The following is a 14,939-nucleotide window of genomic DNA, read 5'->3' on the forward strand; positions in this document are numbered from 1 at the left end:
TTTTTTTTCTGTTATCTGGGTAAAAGAAGGAGAATATTACCCCCAATATTGCAGAGGTGTACACCTCCCTTATGATACTGTTTCTAATATAAAGGAAATAAGAGGGTGATATTATACTTTATATTGCAGGAAGTGTACACTCCCCCTCTGATATTGTTCATAATATCCAGAAAAAAAGAGGTTGATATTATCGCCATTATCGCAAAGGGTGTCCACCCTTCCTGGATATTGTTACTAATATCCAAGAGGACAGAGGATGACATTACTCCCAATATTGCAGAAGGTGTATAATGCCCCTGTGATGTTGTTACTAACATACAAAATAAAAGAGGATGATAGTACTCTTAAAATTGCAGGAAGTGTACATCACCCCTGTGATATTGTTCCCAATGTCGATGAATAAAGAGAATGACATAACTCTCAATATCGCAGGGGGTGTACACAAGCCCTCTGATATTGTTTCTAATATTTATAAAGGAAGAAGATGATATTACCCCCAATATCGCAAGGGATGTACACCCTTCTGTAATATTTTCCCTAATATCCAGGGTGGAAAAGGATGATATTACACCCAATATCTCAAAGAGTGTACACCCTTCCTGTGATACGGTTTCTAATACCCACGGGGGGGGGGAGAATAATATTATGACCCATATCGCAGGGGGTGTACACCCCTCCTGTGATATTGTTTTTAATATCCGGGGGGTAGAAGATATTACCCCCAATATCGCAGGCGGTATACACACCCACAATTATATTTTTCGTAATATCCAGAGGAGAGACGATGGTATTACTCCCGATGTCGCAGAGGGTGTACAACCCCATGTTATATTGTTGTTAGCATCCTGGGAAGAAGAGGATGTTACTACTCTTAATATCACAGAGGAAGGGCACGCTCCCTCTGATATAGTTTGTAATAACAAGGAGAGAGGATGATATTACTCCCAATGTTGCAGAGGGTGTACATCCCCACTGTGACGCTGTTCGTAATATTCAGGGAGGGAGAGGATTATATTACTCCAAATACTGCAGAAGGTTTACAACCCCCGGGGATATTGTTTCTAAATTCCAGGAGGAAAGAGGTGGTCATTACGCCCAATATCACAGAAGAGGAAACACCACCCCAGTGATATTGTTCTGAATATCTATTAAGGGGGAGAATGATATTACTCCCAATGTGACACAAACTGTGCACTACCTTTCTGATATTGTTCCTAATATCCATGAAGAATGAGTCAGGGTATTACTTTCAATATTGCAAGGGATGTACACCCCAGCTGTGATATTCTTTCTAATATTCAGGAGAAAAACACGATAAAAATGCAAATATAAAAGGGGGTGTAAAACCCACTGTGATATTGTTCCTAATATAAAGAAAATAAAAGTATGAAATTATTCCCCAAATGGCAGGAAGACTACAACCCCAAGTGATATTGTTCGTAAAATCCAGAAAAGGAGACATTACTTCCAATATCATAAAAATCCTGAGTGTCCACCACAGTGCGATATTATCGTAATATCCAGAGGAGATAATAATCCTTCCAATATAAAAATCCGGTGTGTCCACCCCCGGTGATATGATTCCCAGATGGTTCGTAAGAGACGGGGAGAAGAGAGGGAGCGCTCTTACTCCCCATATAGAGAGGGTGTCCACCCCCGGCATATGGTTCGTAAGAGCCAGAAGAAGAGAGAGGGGTGCTCTTACTCCCAGTACCATATGATTCTTAAGAGCCAGGAGGTGAGAGGGGGGTGCTCTTACTTCCCATAAAGCGGGGTGTCTCCACCCCCCACCTCATGGATCGTAGAGCCAGGTGGGGATGGGGGGTGCTCTTAATCCCCATATGAAGGGGGGCATCCACCCCCCTGCCATATGGATGATAACAGCTGGGGCGGGGAGAGGGGGTTGCTCTTACTGCCCATATGGCGGGGAGTGTCCACCCCCTGCCAAATGGATCTTAAGAGCCAGGGAGGGGGAGAGAGGGGTGCTCTTACTCCTCATATGGTGGGGGGTGCCACCCACCAACCCGCCACATGGATCCTAAGAGCCACGTGGGGAGAGGAGGATGCTCTTACTCCCCATATGGCGGGGGGTGTCCACCTTCCCTGCCACACAAATCGTAAGTGCCGCAGCAGGGGAGAGGGGGGTGCTCTTACTCCCCATATGGCGGGGGGTGTCCACACCCCCTGCCACATGGATTGTAAGAGCCGGGGGTAGAGGGGGGGACTCTTATTCCTTCTATGGCTGGGGGTGTCCAGCCCCCTGCCATACGGTTCGTAAGTGCCAGTGGGGGAGAGGAGATGCTTTCTCCCCTTATGGCGTGGGATGTCCACCCCCTTGCCATTCGGTTTGTTAGAGCCAGTGGGGAAGAAGGTAGTGCTCTTACTCCCAATATGGTGGGAGGTGTCCACCCCTCTGCCATCGTTCGTAAGAGCCAGTGTGGGGAGAGGGAGTCTCTTACTCCCCATATGGCTGGGGGTGTCCACCCCTTTGCCATTTGGTTCATAAGAGCCAGGAGGGAGAAGGGGGTGCTCTTACTTCCCAAATGGGGAAGGGTGTCCACCCCCCTGCCGTATGGTGCGTAAGAGCCGGTGGGGGAGAGGGGGTGCTTCTATCGCGGAGGATGTCCACCCACCTGCCATTAGGTTAGTAGGAGCCAGGGGTGAAGGGCGGTGCTCTTACTCCCCATAAGGTGTGTGGTTATACCCCTTTGCCATTCAGTTCATATTAGCCAGAGGGGGTTGCTGTTTCTCCTCATATGGCGGGGGCTGTCTTCCCCCCTGCTGTATGGCTGCTAAGAACCAGCGGGGGAGAGGGGTTGCTCTTACTCCCCTCCATATGGGGAGTGATATGAAGAATAATATCACTCTTTTCCCCAAAAAATATTACAAACCATGTTACAGGGACGTGTATGCCCCCCGCCATATTGGGAGATATATCACCCTTTCTGTCCCAGTATATTACAAACCATATCACAGGAAGGTGAACTCCCTCGGCAATATGGGGAGTAATGTCACCCCCTACTCCCCAGGATATTACAAACCATATCACAGGGTGGTGTACGCCCTCCACGATATGAGAAATAATATCACCCTCTCTTCTCCACAAGGGAGTGCATGCCCCTTACGACTTTTGAAGTAAAATTATCCACTTCCCCCAGAATATTACAAACCATATCACAGGGGGTTTGTGCCCTCCCCGATATGGGGAATAATATTGCCCTCTCTTTCCCAAGATATCACGAACCACGGCCCAGGGGTGTCTACGCCTTGCACAATAAGGAAATTAATATCACCCTTTCCCCCCCAAAAAAATTACAAACTATGTCACAGAGAAGTGTATGCTCTTTGCGATATGGGGTGTAGTGTCATCCTCTCCCTTCTTGGAAATTATGAACCACAGGGTGTGTACGCCCCGCGATGGCTAGAGTAATATCACCCTCTCCCCCATGGAATATTACAAACCATATTACAGGGGGGTGTATGGTCTAGCCGATCTGGGTAGTAATATCACCCTCTCCCCCCGAAGATATTACGAACCACATCACAGGTATGTTTACACTCCCGCGATAAGGAAAGTAATATTCCCTTCTCCCCACCGGGATATTACCGACCATATCACAGAGGGGTGTACGTCCCCCCACCCCGCAATATTGGGAGTAACATCAGCTTCTCTTTCCCAAGGTACTATGAACCATATCATAGAGGGTTATACGTCCCTAGCGATATCAGGAGTAATATCTCCCTCTCCCTCCTGGAATATTACAAACCGTATCACAGGGTAGTGTATACCCCAAGCGAGATGGAAAATAATATTACCCTCTCCCACACGAAATATTACAATCCAAATCACAAGGTGGTGTACTTTCTTGCAATATGGAAAGTAACATTACCCTCCCCTACTCGGAATATTATGAACCATATTACAGGCGGGTGTACGTCCCAACCACGAAATGGGGAGTAATATCACCCTCTCCACCCGAGACATCAGGAAGCATATCACAGGTCCCGTGATATAGGGAGTAATATTACCCTGTTTCCCCCTGGATATTATGAACAATATCACAGGGGGGTGTACAACCCCCCAATATGGGAAGTAATATCACCCTCTCTATTCCTGGATATTACAAATCATATCAAAGGTGGGTTTACATCCCCCCAAATATGGGGAGTAATACCCTCTTCCCACTGAATGTTATGAACAATATAACAGGGGTTGTACACCTCCCACCATATGAGGTGTAATATCACCCTCTATTCCTTGAGATATGACGAACCATATCACAGGGGAGTGTATGCCCTTTGCTATATGGGGAGTAATATAATCCTTTCCCCTTCAGAATATTAAGAACCATATCACAGAAGGGTGTACGCCCTCCGCTATATATGGGGAGCAAGATCACCCTCTCTTCCCTGGGATATTACAAACCATATTACAGAGAGATGTAGCCCCCTGGCGATATGTGGAGTAATATCACCATCTCCTCTACAGGATATTGCAAACCATATCATGGGGGGGGGGGTGTACGTTCCCCGCGATATGGAAAGTATTATCATCCTCTCTCCCCCTCCATATTATTAACCATATCACAGGGTGGTGTAAAACCTCCACGATATGGGGAGTGATATCACCCTCTCCCCCCCCCAGAATATTATGAACCATATAACGAGGGGGGGTATGCCCTCCACGATATGGTGAATAATATCACCCACTCCCCCCCACCCGCCCGGGATATTTCAAACCATGTCACAGGGGGGTGTACAACCAACACAATAAGGAAAGTAGTATTACCCTGTTTCCCCCAAAATATTATGAACCAGGTCACATAGGGGTGTACGCTCCCCACAATTTAGGGAGTAATGCCACCCTCTCCCTTCCAGGAAATAATGAACCATGTCACAGTGGGGTGTAAGCTTCCGTGGTATGGAGAGTAATATCACCCTTTCTTCCCCGGGATATTAGGAACCATATCACAAGGGGGTGTACGCTCCCCGCGGTATAAGAAGTCATATCCTCCTCTCCCCACCAGGATATTACAGACCATATCACAGAGGGGTGTACACCCCCGTGGTATAAGAAGTAATATCACCCTCTCCCCCTGGGGATATTATGAACCATATAACAAGGGAGTGTACGCCCCCCCCCACCCCGCGATGTGGGGAGTAATATCAACTTCTTTTTCCCAAGATATTATGAACCGTATCACAGGGGGGTGTACGCCTACCACGATATGGGGAGTAATATCACCCTCTCTCCCCTGAAATATTACGAATCATATACAAGGGGTTTACGCCCCTCACTATATGGAGAGCAATATCACCCTCTCCCACCCGGAATATTACAAACCATATCACAGGGGATGTACACTCCATGCGATATGAGGAGTAATATCACCCTGTGATATTATGAATTATATCACAGAGGGGTGTATGCCCCTCACGATATGGAGAGTAATATCAGCCTCTCAAACCTGGAAGATTACGAACTATATCACACTTTCGCGATATAGGGAGTAATACTACCCTCTACCCGCCCCCCCGGATATTACAAACCATATCATGAGAGTGGGGTGTCTTCACTACGTGACATGGAGAGTAGTATCACCCTCTCCCTCCTGTATATTATGAACCATATCACAGGGGGATATAGGCTTCCTGCGATATGGGAAGTAATATCTCCCTCTAGCCTTCTGGATATTACAAACTGTATCACAGGGGGTGTACACTCCCCTCGATGTGGGGGGTAATATCACCCACTTCTCCCTTCCTAGCTATTATGAACCATATCCCAGGGAGGTGTACACGCCCCAGGATATTGAAAATAATATCACCCTCTTCTCCCCCCTGGGTGTAACAAACCATATCACAGAAGGGTGACCACCACTCGCGACATGGGGAGTAACATCACCCTTGTTTTTCCCGCTAGGAATTACGAACTATATCACAGGGGTTTTTATTCCTCCTAGATATAAAAAGTAATATCACCTTCCTCTCCCATCCTGGATATTACAAATCATACCACAAGGGATTGTACAACTCCCGTGATATTGAGAGCAATATCACCCTCCTCTTGCCCCCTGGATATTATAATCCGTATCACAGGAGGTGTACACCCCCCATGATATAAGGAGTCATATCACACTCCTCTCCACCACTAAATGTTAGAAAGAGTATCACAGCTGGGGTGTACACATCCTGCGATATTGGGTGTAATATCCTTTCCCCCCTTGGGTATTAGAAACAATAAAACGGGAGAGTGGACATCCCCTGCAATATTGGAAGTAATATCATCGTCTCCCTTCCTGGATATTAGGAACAATATCACAAATAGAGCGTACACCCTTTGCGATATTGAGAGTAATATCATACTCATTTTTTCTAAATATTAGGAACAATGTCACAGAAGGGGTGCACACCCCCTGCAATGTTGGGAGTGAAATCACCCTTTTTTCTCTCTTAAATATTAAAAACAATATCACAAGGGGGTTTTGCACCCTGCGATATTGGGAGTAGTGCGTTGTTCTTCTTCCCTGGATATTAGGAATAATATCACAGGAGGGGTGCACACTCCCTGCGATATTGGGAATAATGTTATTTTCTCTCTCCATGGATATTTGGAACAATATCACAAGGGTGGTCTACACCCCTGTGATATTGGGTTTAATATCATCCTTTCCTTTTTGGATAGTAAGAAACATATTACAGAGGGGGTGTACATTTCCTGCAATATTGGGAGTAATATCATCCTCTCCTCTTTTGTATGTTTTAAACAATAACAAAGGGGGGTGTATACCACTTGCGATATTGGGAGTAATATCATTTTCTCTTCCCTGGACATTAAGAACAACATCACAGGAAAGTGTACACTCCCTGAAATATTAAGAGTAATATCACACTTTTACTTCTGGATATGATGAACAATATCACAGGGAGGCGTACGGCCCCTTCGATATTTGGAGTAATATTATCCTATTTTTTCCCTTGATATAACAAACAATATCACAGTGGGGTGTACTCCCTCTGCGATTGCGATATTGCGAGTAATATCATCTTCTCCCACCCTGGATATTATGAACAATATCACAGAGGGTAGTACAGCCCCAGAGATATTGGGAACGATATCATTCTCTCTCCTCACCCCAAATATTACAAACAATATCACAGGGGAGTGTATACCCTCTGAGATATTAAGAGTAATATCACCCTCTCCCCTTTGGAATATTACAAAAATATCACATGGAAATGTACTCCCCCTTCAATATTGAGTGTAATAGCATCCTTTCCTCTTCTTGATATTACAAACAATATCACAGTGGGGTAAACACATCCTGAGATAGTGGGAGTAATATTATCCTCTCCCCTCTTGGATATTAGGAACAATATCAAAGGGTAGGTGTACACCCCTTGCGATATTGTGAGTAATATCATCATCTCCCCCTCTTGAATATTAGGAACAATATTACAAAAATGTGTACACCCTTTGGAATATTGGGAGTAATATCATACTCTTTCCCCCTTAAATATTAAAGACAATATCAGGGAGGGGTATACACCCTGCGATATTGAAAGTAATATCTTGTTCTTTTTCCCTGGATATTAGGAACAATATCACAAGAGGTGTGTTTGCCTCCTACGATATTGGGAGTAATATCATTTTCTCTTTCCATGTATATTTCAAACAATATCATAGGGGTTGGTGTACACTCCCTGTGATATTGAGATTAATATTATTCTTTTAGAACAATATTCCAGGGGGTGCACACTTCCTGAGATACTGAGAGTAATATCATCTTCTCCTCTTTTAGTTATTTTGAACAATATTAAAGGGGGGTGTACACCCCCTGCGATATTGAAAGTGATATCATTTTCTCTTTTTTGGTTCTTACACACAACATCAGAAGGGAGTGTACACTCCCTGGGATATTGGGAGTAATATCATCGTTTTTCCTTCTAGATATTAGGAACAATATCACAGTGCTGTGTACAGCCCCTTCCTTATTTAGAGTAACATTATCCTCTTTTTCCCTGGATATTGCAAACAATATCACAGTGGCGTGTACACCCCCTGCGATACTGCGAGAAATATCATCTTCTCCCACCCTTTATATTACAAACAATATCACAGAGGAGGCTACGGCCCCTGCGATATTGAGAATGATATCATCCTCTACACCCCTAAATATTATGAAAAATATCACAGGGGGGTGTACACACTCTGCGATATTAAGAGTAATATCATTCTCTCCCCTTCTGGATATTACAAAAAAATCACATGAAGATGTACTCCCCCTTTGATATTGAGAGTAATATCATCCTCTCTACTTCTTGATATTACAAACAATATCACAGGAGGGTGCACACCCACTGCGATTTTGGGAGTCATATCGTCATCTACCCTTGTGGATATTAGGAACAATATCACAGCTAGTGTACACTCTTTGCGATATTGGGAGTAATATCATCTTGTCCCCTCTTTAGTATTATGAACAATATCACAGGAAGGTGGACACCTCCTGTGATACTTGAAGTAATATCATTCTCTTCCCCTCTGTATATTATGAACAATATCACAGGGGAATATACACCTTCTGCGATATTAGGAGAAATATCATTCTCTTTTTTTCTGAATATTACAAAAAATATCACAGAGGGGTGTACACCCCCTGAGATATTGGGAGTAACATCATCCTCTCCCGTTCTGGATATTACAAACAATATCACAGCAAGGTTAAACTCCTGCGACATTAAGAGTAAAAACATCCTCTCCCCACTCTGAATATTATGAACAATATCACAGGGGGGTGTATGGCCTCTGTGATATTAGGAGTAATATCATCCTCTTTCCCCCTGGATATTACAAACAACATAACTCGGAGTGTACAACCCTTGCGGTATTTGGAGTAATAATATTCTCTAACACCTAAATATTACGAAAAATATCCCAAGGTGGTGTACACACTTTGCGATATTGAGAGTAATATCATCTTTTCCCCCAATAGAAATTACAGATAGTATTACACGAGGGGTGTAAACCCCCTATGATATTGGCAGTAATATCATCCTCTTATTCTTGAATATTAGGAACAATATTCCCAGGAAGAGTGAACACCTCCTGTGATATTGAAAGAAATATCTTATTTTCTCTCCCTGAATATGAAAAACAATGTCACAGTGGGTGTACACGCTCTGCGATATTGGGAGTAATAGTCTCTCTCCCCCTTGGTATTAGGAACCATATCACAGGGGACTGTACTCGCCCTACGATATCCTTTCACCTTTTTGATATTACAACTAATATCACAGAGAGGTGTACTTTTCTTGCAATATGGGGATTAATATCACTCTCTCCCCCACGGGATACTATGAATCATATCACAGGTGTATGGAACCTTCTCCGCGATATGGGAGTAATATCACCATCTTTTCCCCAGGATATTACAAACCACATCACAGCGGGTGTACTCCCTTTTCAATATGAAGAGTAATGTGACTCTCTCTTATTCAAGGTATTATGAACCATATCACAGAGGGGTGTACGCTCCCTGAGATATGGGGAATAATATCACTCTCCCCTCCTCTTCTGAATATTACAAACCATGTCACAGAATGGTGTACACCCCTGTTATATGGGGAGTAATATCAACATCCTCTCCCCCTCTGGATATTATGAACCATATCACAGGGGGGTGTACGACCCCCGCGATATGAGGAGTAATATTCTCCTCTTCCCCCAGGAATGTTATGAAACATATCACAGGGGGTTGTATGCCCCTGCGATTTGGGAAGTAATAACATCTTCTCCTCCTTTTCTGGATATTACCAACCATAACACAGGGGGGCTTATGCCCTTCAAGAATGAAAAGTAATGCCATCCTCTTTTTCCCCCTTTGGATATTAGAAACCGTATCACAGGGGTCTTACACCCCCCTGTGATATAGGAAGTAATATCACCCTACTCTCCCGTCGGATATTAAAAACCATATCACAGGAGGGTGTACGCTTCTGCAATATGGGGAGTATAATCACCGTCCTTTCCTCCTCTGGATATTATAAACCATATCACAAGGAGTGTGTATCCCCTCCTCGATATGGGGAGTAATATCACCCTCTCCCCCACTGGATATTATGAACTATATCACAGGAAGGTGGACACCCTCTGCAATATGGAGAATAATAGCACCCTTCTTCCCCCCCTGCATATTATGAACAATATCAAAAGGGGTGTGTACATCACACACCTCAACCCCGCTGGATATTAAGAAACATATCACAAGAGGTGATATGGTTTGTAGTATCCAGACGGGGAGATGATGATATTACTCTTAATATCGCAAGCGTTGTACCACCCACCCCATGATATGGTTCGTAATATCCAGGGGGGAGGCAATGACATTACTCTTGATATCGCAGGGGGTGTACACCCCCCTGTGATATTGTTTGTAATATTAAAGATGGGAGAGTATAATATTACTTGCAATATTGCAGGGGGTGTATACCCCCTTGTGATATTGTCTGTAATATCCAGAAGGAAAGAGGATGATATTACTCCCAATATCCCAGGGAGTGTACACCTTCATTTGAAGTTGTTTTTAATATGCAGGGTGGGAGAAGATAATATCACTTTCAATATCGCAGGGGCTGTACACCCCCTTCTGATATTGTTCATAATATCCATGGAGAAAGAGGACGATATTACTCCCAATATCTTAAACACCCTATGTGTACACCACCCTACTATATCGCTGGTAATTTCTGGGGGGTGAGGTTGATATTACTCCCAATATCACAGAAGGTACACACCCCGCTGTGATATTGTTCATAATATCCAGGAAAAAAGAAGATGATACTACTTCCAATATTGCAGGGCGTGTACACTTCCCTGTGATATTGTTCCTAATATACAAAGAAGGAGACGATATTACTTCCAATATCACAGGCTGTGTACATCCCCCTGTGATATTGTTCCTAATATCCAGAGGGCGAGAAGATATTACCCCCAATATCACAGGAAGGTATACACAGCCCATGATATGGGGAGTAATATCACCCTTCTCTCCTCTTCTAGATATTACAAACAATTTTTATGGGATATTGTTTCTAATATCCAGGTGTAAAAAAAAATGATATTACTTCCAATATTGCAGGGGTTGTACACCACTCCAATGACATTATTCCTAATATCCACGGGGGAAGAGGATGATATTATTGCCAATATTGCAGGGGGTGTAAACCCCCCTCTTATATCGTTCTTAATATCTGGGAGGTAGTGGTTGATATTACTCCCAATATCGCAGAAGGGATACAACGCGCCTGTAATATTGTTTCTAATATCCACGGAGAGAAGGGATATATTTCCCAAAATAGAAAGGAATGTACACCCCTTCTGTTATATTGTTCCTAATATACCGGGCATGAGGAAATGATATTACTCTTAACATCACAGGGAGTGTACACCCCCACTTTGGTAATGTTCACAGTATCCAGGGGAAGGGAGGATGATATTACTCCCAATATCACAGGGGATGTACATCTTCCCTGTGATATTGTTCCTGATACCCAGGAGGGGAGAGGATGATATTACTGGCAATATCGCAGAAGGTATACAACCCCCCTGTGATATTGTTCCTAATATCCAGATGGAAAGAGGAAGATATTACTTTCAATATCGCAGGGAGTATACATTCCCCATGTGATGTTGTCTCTAATATCAAAATTTAAGAGGCTGGTATTACTCCCAATACCATAGCGAGTGAACAACCCCCATGATATTGTTTCTAATATCCAAAAAGGAAAAGAAGGATATTACTCCAAATGTCTTAGGAAGTGTTTAATTTCCTGTGACATGATTCCTAAAATATTGGAAAAGTGAGAATAATAGTACTCCCAATATCGAAGGGTGTGTACTCCCCCTAATGTCATTTATTTCCTAAAATCTAGGAAGAGAGAATAATATTGCTTCCAATATTGCAGGAGGTGTACATCCGACTTTTGATATTGTTCCTAATATCAAGGGGGAAAGAGGATGATATTACTTTGAATACCGCAGAGGATGTACACACCCATTGTGTTTCTAATATCCAGTGAAAGAGGAGATGATATTACTACCAATATCGCAGATGCCATAAATTCCTCTGTGATATTGTTCCTAATATCCAGGAGGAAAGAGGATGATATTACCACCAATGTTGCTGGGAGTGTACATACTCCCTTGTGATATTGTTTCTACTATCTAGGGAAAGAGAGGATTATATTATTCTCAATATTGCAGGGGGTTGTAACAGCACCCTGTGATATTTTTCTAACATCCAGGGAGGAAGACAATGATATTACTCCCAATATGGCTGAGAATGTACACCTGTGATATTGTTCTTAATATCCAGAAGGAAAGAGGATGATATTACTCCCAATATCGCAGGGGGTGTACACGCCCCCTGTGATATTGTTCCCAATATCCGGGGGATGAGAAGATGATATTACTTCCAATATCTATCCTAGCAGTTGTACAACTTTTCTGTAATATTGCTGTTAACATCAAGGGGGGGGAGGGTGATATTATTCCCAATATTGCAGGGGGTGCACAACCCCCATGTAATATTGTTTCTAATATTCATGGGGGAATTGGGTGATATTACTTCTAATGTCACAGGTGCTGTACGCCCCTCCCCCCCAGATATTGTTTCTAATATTGAGTTATGGAGAAAATGATATTACTCTCAATATCGCAGGAGATGTACATTTTTCCTGTTATATTGTTTCTAATATCCAGGAAAGGAGAGGATGATATTACTCCCAACATAGAAGGGCATGTACCTCCCCATATGATATTGTTTTTAACATTTATGTTGGGAGATGATAATATTACTTGCAATATCCCACAAGGCGCACACACACTCTGTGATATTGTTAATATACAGAGAAGGAGAGAATGATATTACTTTTAATATAGCAGGGAATTTAACCTGCCCTGTATAATTTTTTATAATATAAGGGAGGAAGAGAATTATATTTCTTTGAATATCACAGTGGGTGTATAACTTCTTAGTGATATTATTTTTGATATCTGGGGAGGAGAGGATAATATTACTCTTAATATCACACACTCTCTCTGTGATATTATTCCTAAATTACAGGGAAGAATAAAGAATGATATTACTCCCAATATCACAGGAGTGTACACCCTCCGTTTAATATTGTTTCTAATATTTAGAAAGAAACGGAATGATATTACTTCCAATATCACAGGAAATGTACAACCCCCTTTGATATTTTTCCTTATATCCAGGTGAGGAGAGGATTATATTACTCTCAATATCACAGCAGAAGATGTACACCTCCCGTGTGATATTGTTCTTAATAGTTTGGGAGAAAATTATATTACTCCCAATATCGCAGGTGGTGTACACCCTTTCCGGTGATATTGTTCCTAATATCCGTGGGGGAGAGGAAAATACTACATCCATTATCTCAGGAGGTGTACATCCCCCCTGTGATATTTTTCCTAGTATCCAGAGTGGAAGAGGATGATATTACCTTCAATATTGCAGCAAGTGTACAACTTTTCTGTGATATTGTTTTTAATATCCACAGGGGGAGAGGATGATATTACTCCCAATATTGCAAAGGGTGTACACCCCCACTATAATATTGTTCCTAATATTCAGTGTGGAAGAGGATGATATTACTACCAATATCACAGGGAGCTTACACATGCCCTGTTATATTGTTTTTAATTTCCAGTGAAGGAGAGAATGATATTACATTTAATTTTTCAAGAGGTGTTACAACCCCCTTTCAATATTGTTCATAATATCCATGGAAGGAGAATATAATATTACTCCCAAAATCGCAGGTGTCATACACGGCCTTACTCCGTGATACTGTTTCTAACATCCCGGTTGGGGGGAGAAAATAATATTATTCTCAATATCGCAGGGGATGTACCCTTTCCCTGTGATTTTTTTTTAATATTCAGGAGAGAAGAGGATGACATTACTCCCAATATCGCAGAACGTGTACACCCCGCTGTGATACTGTTTTTAAAAACCAGGTTGAGAAAGGATGAGATTACTTGCAATATCTCACAAAGTGTACACACACTATGTGATACTGTTCCTAATATACAGAGGCAGAGATTATGATTTCACTCCCAATATCGCAGGGAGTTTACATGCCCACCCCTGTAATATTGTTTCTAATATGGAGGAAGGAAGAGGATTATATTATTTTCAATATCGCAGGGGGTGTACACATTCCCAGTTATATTTTTTCTAATATCCAGGTGTGGAGAGGATGATATTACTTTTAATATCTTGGGGGGTGTATCCCGCCTCTGTGATATTGTTCCTAATATAAAGAGTGGGGAGAGGATAATATTACTCCCGATATGGCAGGCATATACAGCCTTTCTTTGATATTGTTTCTACTATTTAGAGGGAGAGAGGATTATATAGCTTTCAACATCCCAGGGGCTTCCTCCTCACATTGATACATTTCCTAATATCCAAGAGAGAAGATAATAATATTACTCTCAATATCGCAGGGGATATCCACCTCCCCTGTGATATTATACTTAATATTTAGGTTACGAGAAAATAATATTACTCCCAATATCACAGGGGGTGTAATATCATCCTCTCATCAAGTAATATTATCCTCTCCCATACTGGATATTAGGAACAATATCACAGAGGTGGGGTGTACTTCCCCTGTGATATTGTTGCTAATATCCAGTTTGGAAAAGGATGATATTACTACAAATATCACAGCAGGTGTACAAGTTTCCTGTGATATTGTTTTCAATATCAAGGAGGAGAGATTGATATTAGTCCCAATATCGCAGGAGGTGTGCATTCCCCTCCCATAACATTGTTTCTAATGCTGTGGTGGAGAGATGATATTACTACCAATATCACAGGTAATTTAAACACCTCCTGTGATATTGT

This window comes from Homo sapiens, chromosome 6 (genome assembly GCF_000001405.40).
Source record: "Homo sapiens chromosome 6, GRCh38.p14 Primary Assembly".
NCBI classification, from domain to species: Eukaryota; Metazoa; Chordata; class Mammalia; order Primates; family Hominidae; genus Homo; species Homo sapiens.